The 11,578-nt window shown below is 43.9% G+C and overlaps 1 annotated feature.

Annotated features, from left to right (window-relative positions):
* Nucleotides 10,850-11,050: a silencer, noted in NCBI's record as "peak2042 fragment used in MPRA reporter construct". NCBI's record gives its function as "represses an SCP1 promoter by STARR-seq MPRAs in K562 erythroleukemia cells {active_cell/tissue: K562}" and the evidence as "EXISTENCE:reporter gene assay evidence [ECO:0000049][PMID:32103011]".

The following is an 11,578-nucleotide window of genomic DNA, read 5'->3' as shown; positions in this document are numbered from 1 at the left end:
AATTCACTAATTTATTAATACTTCCTCTTAAAATTGCATTAAGGTACTATATTTATGAATAGAGTAGTAAATTTTTTCAACTGAACTTGAAGGCTTTGGTAGAAAGATAGTTTTTGTGATGTTTACTTTGATACAGTGAACATTAAAAAGAACAAAGCAAAGGCCAGGTGGGGTGGCTTATGCGTGTAAACCCAGTTCTTTGGGAGGCCAAGGTGAGGAAATCACTTGACCTCACGAGTTCAAGACCAGCCTGGGCAACATGGTGAAATCCCCTCTCTACAAAAAATACAAAAATTAGCTGGGTACATTGGCACCCATCTGTAGTCCCAGCAACTTGGGAGGCTGAGGCAGGAGGATTGCTTGAACCCCAGAGGCAGAGGTTGTAGTGAGCTGAGATTGTGCCATTGCACTCTAGCCTTGGCAACAGAGGCAGAGGCTGATACACACACACACACACACACACACACACACACACACACACACACAGAGCCATTAAAATCAATTTTTAAAAAAAGGCCAGGCGCGATGGCTCATGCCTGTAATCCCAGCAATTTGGGAGGCTGAGGTGGGCAGATCACAAGGTCAGGAGTTGGAGACCATCCTGGCTAACACGGTGAAACCCCGTCTCTACTAAAAAATACATAAAATTAGCCGGGTGTGGTAGTGGGCGCCTGTAGTCCCAGCTACTCGGGAGGCTGAGGCAGGAGAATGGCGTGAACCCGGGAGATGGAGCTTGCAGTGAGCCGAGATCGCGCCACTGCATTCCAGCCTGGGCAACAAAGAGCAAGACTCCATCTCAAAAAAAAAAAAAAAAGAAAGCAAAATAAGTATCTGTGTAGTCTCTTCCCTGCTTGGAAGATACCCTTAAGGCATCAAAAACCCATGCAGCTGCGTAGCTCAGAGGGGACCGTGCACACCGGCCTCTGTGCTGCGTGGGGACGAACAGGACTGGTGAGCCTGGACTCCATCAGTGAGGACAGGCAGAGAAAACAAAACAGAGGAGGTGGTGGTACCCAGGGAACTCCCCAGAACACAGCCCTGAGTGCAGAGGGGGAAGCACAGCGCGACCTGGGGGTCAGCAACACTCAGGAAACTTTACAACACAAGCGTCCACAGCCCATTGCTGTGTGGTTTTCAGAGGTGACAGTGGAGAATATACCTGAAAAGCATGAGGAAGGGGCCTCTGCCGGGGATGGAGGAATGGCGATGGATGGAGGTTAGGGTAAGGGAAAACATCACCGAAGAAGAACCGTGGGTGGCCCTGTCGTGATGGTGCCAGGAGCTGTGTGGTCGTCTCAGCACTTGGTGGCCGAGTGTTTGAAATAAAGCAGTAGAATAAAGCAGTGGATGTTACAGGATGGGAAGGGCAGAGGGGAGGGAGGGCTAGAAAGAGATTTGTTAAAGGGTACAAAATTACAGTAGATGGGAGAAATAAGTTCTAGTGTTCTGTTGCCCTGTGGGAGGACTACAGTAACAATAACATTTTATATAGTGTCAGATAGCTGGAAGGAGGACATGAAACATCCTCAACACAGAGAAATGGTAAATGTTTGATGAGAGGATGGATATGCTAATTACCCTGATCTGATCACCATACCCTGTATGTATTGAAACATCTTTATCTACCCCATGAATACATACAATTATTACTTGAAATTTTAAAAATAAGTTAAAATTTAGGGAAAGAAAAGTTTCACCTGTAAGGACGTCCAAAATAAATGAATTAAGCTAATCATTTTTTTTTTTTTTTTTTTTTAAAGACAGGGTCTCACTTTGTCACCCAGACTGGAATACAGTGGCACGATCTCGGCTCACTGCGACTTCCGCCTCCCAGGCTCAAGGGATTCTCCTGCCTCAGCCTCCTGAGTAGCTAGGACTACAGGCATACACCACCATGCCCTGCTAACTTTTGTAGTTTTAGTGGAGACGGGTTTTCACCAATGTTGGCCAGGCTGGTCTCGAATTCCTGACCTCAAATGATTCACGTGCCTTGGCCTCCTAAAGTGTTGGGATTACAGGTGTGAGCCACCTCGCCCAGTGTTTTTGTTTTTTGTTTTGTTTTGTTTTGTTTCTTGGGTAAACAACAACAACAAAAACCCAGATAAACACCTCCTAGGATGTAGGACTCTAATCTGCCTCAACTCATCCGGGGCCTTAGAGGCAGCTCTCCCACTGCAAATAGCAAAATATTTGGGATGAAAATCCTCGGAATTATCCCATTCAAAAGGAGACTGGCTACATTTCTGGGCAGTTGTGAATCTGAATGTAGCCGCTGTCATATGCCTGTTCTACTGTCAGCATCGAGTAAACGCTGAGCCCTAGCAATAATTATAAGGGGGAGGATGGATGGGAGCTTTCACTTTCAGATCTGTCTACAGATTAGATTGACTTTTCTATTGTAAGGATGTTACTGCTTTTTTGTTATTGCTTTTCCCTAAATAAAAGTCTGAAGCTAAGTGAAAGACAGCAGTTATCCCCTCATTAACTCAAGCAATTAATTATTGGATCCTCAGTCCCCCTGTGGGTTGCAGCCATTAAGGAATGTTAGAAGCTGATAAGGCAGAGGTCTTCCAGGAATATCTCTCATTTTAATATTCTGACAGTTTTGACTTTTCTCCAGGGTGAGTTACGATGCAGCAATAGAAAAAAAAAATACTGTTTTTTTTTCTTCCAAAATGAAATAGGGCCACACCTGGCTGGCATTGGAGGCACCATGAAATAGACCAGCTCATGGCCGGGCAGAGTGGTTCACGCCTATAATCCCAGCACTTTGGGAGGCCGAGGTGGGCAAATCACCTGAAGTCAGGAGTTCAAGACCAGCCTGGCCAACATGGTGAAATACCATCTCAACTAAAAATACGAAAATTAGCCAGGTGTGGTGGCAAGTGCGTGTAGGCCCAGCTAGTTGGAATACTGAGACAGGAAAATCGCTTGAACCTGGGAGGTAGACGTTGCAGTGAGCAGAGGTCCTGCCACTGCCCTTCAGCCTAGGTGACAGAGCAAGACTCCATCTAAAAACAACAACAACAAACAAACAAATAGAAAAACCAAAATGACCAGCTCTGATTGAAGACACATAATTGGGGCAAGTGGAGAATAATAACTACTGGCTGGGAGAGGAGACGGAACAGGCTCGTGGCCTTTAGTCTGGGGGTGTGGCAGAGACAATGTGTTTACCAAACCCTCTTGACTTTCCCCCGGCCATGTGGTTGGACCTATGTTTCCCAGCCTCCCTAGCAGTCATGTGACTGACTTCTTGCCAAGGGATTGTGGGAGAAATGATGTGATCTGGGTCCTAAACCCTGCAAGATGCTCTCTCTCTGCGGTCCGGGGTGCTGCAGGGTGTGGCACCACGTACACTATGGAGGCTGTAGATTGAGATGCAATAATCTAAGAGGAGATTGGGTCTCCGAATCACCGCATGGAGCGGAGCCTTCCTCACCCTCCTTGGACTCTGCAGTGGAAAAGACATAGCTCCTTGCTGCTGAAAACCACTGAGATTTCAGAGCTGTTTGTTTTGTAGTCAGCATACCCTGACAAAGAAAGAAAGAGAGATGGTCTGGGTGTGCCAATATGCTAGTGAATTCTCCCAGAGGTCACCATGTAGAGGCAGAGCTGAGTGAATACAACACTGGAAATAAAATCAGGAAAAAGAACCACACTTCACACGAGGAATATATTTCTGTGTTTTCTAAGCCACTCAGCCTATTTTTGGTGGTTGTTATAGCCGCCCAAGCCAACTAAGACACTTGCTGTGTTCCAGGAACTATACAAAGAACTGAAACATATGAGTGTAACCTTTCGTACTATTGTGGTCTGCATGTTACTGACAGGGAAACATGCTTAAAGGGTTAAAGAAATAGCCCGAAACACTGAAGGTAACAAGAGGAGGAAGCAGAGACTGAGCTCAGGGCCACACTGTCAGCAAGGAAGGGGCTGGGCTGCCTCGCCAGGGGCATCGACTGAAAACTGAATTTAGAAGCTGTTTTCCAGGCATTTCCAGTTGTTCTCTTTTGCTTACACTGAACCCCTCTGATGCCCAATGAACTTGAAGCTGCCTTCAGCCAGCAAGTGGCAGAACTGGAATGTGAGCCCAGGGTGCTGGCTCTAGGTCCTGCTCAGAGGAACTCTTCTCCACTGCTCTTTGTTTATTAATTTATTCTCTGTCTCCTTCTGCCTCTCTGCCTCTGTTCCCCTGAGTCTCTCACGCATTTGCACGCACATACATACACAATAGCATACTGCTATATTTTCAGCCACTATACAGGAACTCTTGATGTTATCCATAAAAACCCCCGAGCACGGAAGCTTAGGGCCTTTCTGCCGCCTGTGGATGCCAGCGTCACAGGGCTGTGAATTACTCCTGGAGCCACTTTCCATGACTCCTGACACAAATCGAAGTCTGAGCCATCCGTAGTGACAGCTGTTTGACATGGAGCCCTCATGGAACACAGATTTGCTCTTTCTTTTCTCATTACAATGAAGCCCCTCCTCCTGATAGAAGGAGGCACTGGGGTGGGAAGCTGTTGACAGCAGGTTCCCAGGACTGAAACCTCACCCCAGAGGGAGCTGCAGCCACAGCTTTTCACACTTCTGCTGGAAACAGAGTTCCACAAGGACCACGGGCCCCAACGCAAGGCAGCCTGGTTTTCAAAATACCCTCTATCCACCTGGATCCCAGGCCGCTCCTGCTTCACTCTGCTGCCATTTACAGGACAAACCTGCAGACACTCTGGCTGGAAAGTGTGGGAGGGACCCGCCTGCCCTGGCGGAGAACTTGAACAGTGCTCTAGCTAATTGGCTGGAAGTAATGCCCCCAACTGGGAAAATTCATAGCCTTTAGGCCTCTCTTTTCTAGGGAGCAAAACATTTCTGATTAAAAAATCTTAAAGCTTAACTGCTGCAATTCAGCCTTCAAAGTCAGTTCTTCATGAAAAGGACAACTTCTTCATAAAATGAATCCATTTTGAGTGGATTTTTATTACGTGCGTTTGATTTTTTTTTTCATTAAAAGGGTCGCTTTTATTGGAAAGTACAATTTTAGAAACAAACCACTTAAGTAATTATTTTGCCTGTTTAGTTTCTGCGATTTTTCAATGAAAAGCCTAGGATGAGGGCGGCCTCCTAAACTCCAAACTGATGAATAATCTTCTGCCTCCATCTCTCCCAAGGGAACATGCGTGTAGAAGCCATATTCACCTTCCCGGCCACAGCCTTCACCTCTGTGAGACAATGTCCCTTTGATGACAGTGGTTGTTAAAGGATCTCCATGACAAAGGATTCCCCATTGTCTCCCTCACGAGCATCCCCTCTTTGCTTCTTCTAGGGCTCCAACCAGCACAGACCCTGTCGCTGATGGGATCCAGGGGGAAGGAGGGATCCAGACCGGCCACTGGCCAGCTTCAGCACCTGCAGCAGCCTCGCCAGTCATCTGCCCTCTGTACCAGCCTGGAACATTCTTGCCACAGTCTCCTTGTGGGCAGGCCCAAGAGGTGAACCCTGCTGCAGAACTGATGGGTTTCCTGAGCTTCAGCAAGATTGTGCCCTCTTCAGGTGACTGTCTCCAATCTTACCTGGGAAGGACATGGATCTTTTCCAGCATGGGATCTTTTCAATGCTGTGCTCATACCCGGTGTGGCTGTGCAGGCCGGTGCATGTGTGTTTGTGTACGTGTGTGTATGTGTATGCAGGTATGTGGATATGGATGTATGTACGTGCATGCATGTGTGTATATGTGTATGTGCACACATGCATGTGTGTATGTGTACATGTACATGCATGTGTATGTGTGTGCATGTGTATGTATGTGTGTATGCCTGTATGTGCATGCCTGTGTGTGTTTGTATGTGTGTATACATGCATGTATGTGCATTTATGTGTGTGCACATGTATGTGTGTATGTGTGTATATTTATGTTATGTATGTGCATGTATGTATGTGTGTACAGCAGTTGTAATTGCTATTCTCTTGCTTCACTTGGTGGGTAAAATAATTATTACAAGGTAAATGGGATGTAGTCGCTTCATAACAGAAAAGAAGTTGTGAGGAGTTTTATAAGTTTTCAGAGCAAAGGGTACTGTGTGGAGTGAACTATTTCTTTTTGCAATAAGAAAAATTTTCTCAAATAAAAATTGGGAGTAAATAATAAATGTTAAATGGTCTAACCAATTTAATAGCCTTAGCAGCAAGTGGCATGGCTAGTTTTTGTTCAACTGCCTGATAAAATGTGATATATCAAGTGGGTCTTACTGAATGCATCTTGGGATAAAAGTAAAGCCTGCCTTTTAGTCCCGCATGATTTCATGATGTCCAGGCACCACTGGTTTGTTATAAATTAAAGATTAATATATGTTTTTTGGTTTCGTTCAACATACAAGGTGACAGCAAATGGATTAATTTGACAGATATTCAGGGAAATCGTATTAGCCTAACTCAAGAAGTACAAAGGGAGATGATTATCAAGAAATAGATACAATTCCAGGCAGAAAAGATCCCAAAGAAGTCTTAATAGCTGAAATATTGCTGACAAGGAAGTGCACAGACCAGCCTTGCGGAATCCCACATCCGGGGAAGCCGACTTTCCCCTGCAGACACCGCCGCCGGAGCAGAGTCTGATGGATCACAGGCCAGGATGGGGAATTGCAAACACCTCAAGCACCCGTGGAAATACTGGGTCACCAACAAGCCACCTCCCGAATTCCCCTCCTTCTGGGGTATCAAACTCCAAGCCTGGGCGACCTGGTAAAGAACAGACCAACCTGGAGAGCACAGGTGCCCCCAAATGGGCAGGGAGTGGCAGCCAAGTGTGTAGGGTGCTCTCAGTGGGGCCACATCTTCCCTTTTCAAGAGAATGTAGAAGGCCGGGTGCGGTGGCTCACGCCTGTAATCCCTGCACTTTGGGAGGCTGAGGTGGCAGATCACCTGAGGTCAGGAGTTCGAGACCAGGCTGGCCAACATGGTGAAACCCCATCTCTACTAAAAATACAAAAAATTAGCCAGGCATGGTGGCACATGCCTGTAATCCCACCTACTTGGGAGGCTGAGGCGGGAGAATCGCTTGAACCTGGGAGGCGGAGGTTGCAGTGAGCTGAGATCACACCATTGACTGTACTCCAGCCTGGGTGACAAGAGCAAAACTCCATCAAAATAAATAAATATATAAATAAATAAATAAATAAATAATAAAAAAAATTTAAAAAGAGAGAGAAAGAATGTAGAAATTTGCAGTTTTATATGAAAATTCTCTATGTTTAGATTTTGGCAACCAATTCAAAACATTAAAAAATAAATAAATACAGAAGGCCAAGGAAACAAGGCTGCAAGTTGGACTCAGCCTTTGAGCATCAATTTCTAGCCTCTCTATCACCTCGTGGCTAAAGGCGCTATTTCTTCCTTGAGATTTGAGGCTGTGCCTGCAGTGTTTTGAGGAGACTGAGAACAGAGAATGGCATGGTTAGCCTGGTTCTAGATAGCTCTACTCTCTGATAGAGAAGATTATGACTGGAGGTTTGATGCTGGCCGTAAATAAGCTAGGGGCTCTTTTCTTGGAGCAGACTAAGGCTCTTGCATAGCCCCGTGATGTGGAGCTTTCTTCTATATCAATAAACCAAATGGATACCAAACACAGCTGACATTAATAGGTGCCTCAGCCAGGGTCTCCACCAGAATACTCAAATGAGGATAATTGGAGAGAATCAGGTTTTTCCTCTTTTTTCTTAATGCATAATATTTGTACATATTTGTGGGGTGTGTGTAATATTTTATTATGTGCATAGAATGTGTATGCTCAAGTCAGGGTATTTAGGGAGGCATGACAAAGATATGGGTGCGGGGCGACCCCAGGAGCCAAGCAGGAACTCAGAGCTGCTGTCAGCCTGGCTGAGACCTCCTGTCAGTCCAAAGGGACCGGGGCTTAATTGCAAGGAAAGGGTCTTAAAGCCAGGCCACATTTATAGGAGCTGTAGCCTTCTGCCAAGAGATACAGCTGACCCAAGAAGACTTTGATGGTAGAGAGCCAGGGAATATTCCTGGACTTCACTCTCTTCTCTCTTGCCAGTCTCCTGCGGGGCTTTCCATGACCAAACCCAGCAGGGAGCCAGGGGCCATGGGTGCCCACTGGTGTTGTCCAGACCAACCTCGGCGGGCAGAGTTGAGAAGTGTGGAGCCTGGGTCTGCAGGGGCTAGCAGCAGATACCCAGCTCGGAAGATATTAGTGTAAGTCAGTATTTTAGAAACAAACCAACATTGTTCAACTCTAGGTGGAGGCAGCTGCCCAGAGTCTGCTGCCTGATGAAGGCTCAGAGCTCGAAGCTTGAAGCTGCTTTCTTTTCGTAGAAAGGGAGATTACCAAGCACTGACGTAGTGTTCAAGACACACGTGTTTCAGAGGGACACTCTCTCAAAGTACGCAGCCAAAGACTCAAAAGAAATGACAGGTAATAACACCCTCATCGCCTGACTCAAATCACATCTGAGTGTTACCCGCGTCTTTCCACCTCTCCCTGGATTGGGGAAAGGTGGGAATAAGTGATCTCAAGTCCCCATCTGACTCTGGGATACTCACCATGCCTGTGGCTGTGACTCACCACAGCTTCGTATGGATAAAGTAACAATTTTCTGCACTCAGCTTCTTGTTATTCCACAAACGAGAATGTTTTGTTTCAGAAGAATGAGAGCTTATTCTGGGCTTGAGCTATAAGATGCCGAATATGTATTAATGCTCTTTCAGAGATCCTATTTGAGAAAAATAAGCTTTTATTCTCCAAATGTTTATTGGTCTCTTTGTCTGCATAGCTCTTCAGGCTAAAATGAATATAATCCATATGTAGCATTAGACATTTTACCTTACCTTAATACAGCAATCATGAATACATATTAGCTGTACAGAAGGAAGCCTACATGTATTACAGTTGATGGAATGTACTATAAATTGGCTTTTGTTTTACTTATAAATTTGTTATAGAGATATTTATTGGGCACACATATATAACTGGTACTGGCACCATTGCTATGCCAAAGTGTTTTGTTTATTTTTAGTGAAATAATGGATATATTAGAATTAATTCTATTGTAGTTAATTAAATGTCCAAAATAATCTTTCTACTCTGGTGTACTGATTAATTTTTAACAGTAGGGTCTCTGAAGATTATTATTAGTTATACTGATATAAAGGCCATATAGCACCTAATTTACAAATCATAATATACAATATCCATTATTTTAAATTTTATATAGCCAATTTATTTTGTTTACACCTTTAATTTCAGTGTGACTTGCTATGCCTTGCCAATTCCACTATCAGTTTTTATAATTTTTATCAACAACAATTGTGTCACAAAATCAGACAATGATAAATGCTTGACACTTATTGGATTCAGCAAAGAAGCTACTACGTCACTCAAGAAGACTTATGGTTCTGACACAAATAATTGTTGATACTGTCACTTATGTTAACAAGAAAAATGAAAATGAAACAACTAACATGTATCTTGGAATTGTATCGCATTCTTCAGTGCTATCAGGGACTTCTTTCCTGAATTAGATAATAGTTTTTGAACAATGGAAAGTTATTTATTCTCTCAACACTTCGTGCTATTCACAATGAAATGGCTATAAACCCAATATACTTTTAAGTTTAATTTACATTTTAAACTTTTTCTCCATTACTTTCTTAAGTCTAACCAATCAACAAAATAATCAAGTCCCAATCTGTAGTGTTTGCCTATTTCTCTGGTGTAGACACCTCCACTATAGATGGTTTCAAGCTTCCGATGTCATATCACCAAACGTGGAGTCGCCCACAATGGTAACTTATGTTCCCTCTTCTTCATTATTATTCTTCTATTATTTCCCTTAAAAACAAACATAATAGTAAAATGTAGTGACATAACTTGGAAGTGATGAGTTTTGATTATTGATTACATTTGCTTTTATTGTCATTTATTTAATTGTATGCTTTCACAATTTAATTTTTAATAATGGCTGTGTTTGACCATCAGTGAACAGAATTCCTGGAAATTTAACAATTGCCTCTTTTGAACCTAGAAAAGGCAGCTTCAGCATGCACTTTATCTTCATGCTAACCCTTCAGTGCTAGATCCAAGGGGCAGGGAGGCAAAATATTATCGGTACCATATCCTTTCCCCCTGCGCCTCACTTTATTAACTTTATTGCTGCCACCCTGGTCACCTTTTGGCTGCACAAACACCCTAAATTCATTCCCACCGCAGAGCTTCTGAATTTACTATTTCCTGGCCCAGAACATCCCTATTTTCAAATAAATGACTATACTTTATCAAGTAGAGCTTTGCTAAAATTAATTTTTTATGAATACATAATAGATGTATATATTTTGGGGGTACCTGTGATAACTTGGTACAATCATATGACGTGCTGAGATCAAATCAAGGTAATTGGGATTTTCATCACCTTAAATATTTATCTTTTCTTTATGCCAGGAACACTCAAATGATGCTCTTATAGCTAGTTTGAAATGTACAATAGATTAGCGTTAACCATAGGCATTCTCCTGCCCTGTGGAACGTTAGGTCTTCTTTCTGCTAATGGTATTTTTGTACCCATGAATCAACCTCTCTTCTTCCTCCTTTCCCTTATCCTTCCTGGCCTCTGGTTACCACCAATCTAGCTCTCTCTTATACACCTACCCTACACAATCACACTATTTATGGTCAATTGTTCCCATTTGAAAATGTAAGTTCAATGTTGTCATATTTTCTGTCTCTTCAAGAAAATCCAGAAACCTGGATTTGTACATGAAATCTCACAATTAAGGAAGACAATGCTGCCCAAATCCATTATTTCCTTGGGCCATATTTAGCCTGTGAGATTACAGTGTTCAGCCCCTATTGATAGTATCTGCAACTGACCCCACTGGCCTGAAAAGCGTTGTGATATTCGGGGCCATATCACTGGAGGGAGGCTGCAGGAGAAAGGACATTGTTGAGAAGAGCCACAATGAGTGTGCTGAGTCAGTGTTGAAGAAGAGGAAACATGGTCAGTGTTGAAGAAGAGGGAACATAAGTTACTCATACACACGGGAACCAAAAGTAGGGTGCTGTGATGGTGTTGAACAATGATGCTAAGTATTGGGAATCATCATCACCTTGTCCTTCTGGATCCACAGCAGACATCACCAACTGATCGTGGCACAGTCTGTCCCAGAACACCGGCACAGCCTCATGATGCTTCTCACCATGGCATGCATGTGACCAGCCAGCACGATGGGGCTCACTTGTCAAGCCTGGTATAAGCTTAACTCACACATCACCTTGTCTATGAGGCTCTTCTTGCCTTTTTGGATGTAATCACTTATCCATGTTGGATCCTGTGCAGAAAGGAGTTAACAAAACCGGCCTGTGGCTGTATTTGCAAGGTTGGCCCTTGCCTGGCATAGGGTAACAAATTTTGGGAGGGTTCCCATCATTTCCTGATATGAATGGCTCACTGTGCCTGCCAAACAACATGGCTTTTGCTGGACGTCTGCTTTCCTTCTGGGATCTGGAATTTTGGCACATGCTAGGCAGTGGGTACCCAGGCGAGCAGCTCCCATGATACATCTG

The sequence above is a fragment of the Homo sapiens genome, chromosome 12 (genome assembly GCF_000001405.40).
Source record: "Homo sapiens chromosome 12, GRCh38.p14 Primary Assembly".
Classification (NCBI taxonomy): Eukaryota; Metazoa; Chordata; class Mammalia; order Primates; family Hominidae; genus Homo; species Homo sapiens.
The sequence above is the reverse complement of the archived record's forward strand: the minus strand, read 5'-3'. Positions and strand labels throughout refer to the sequence as shown.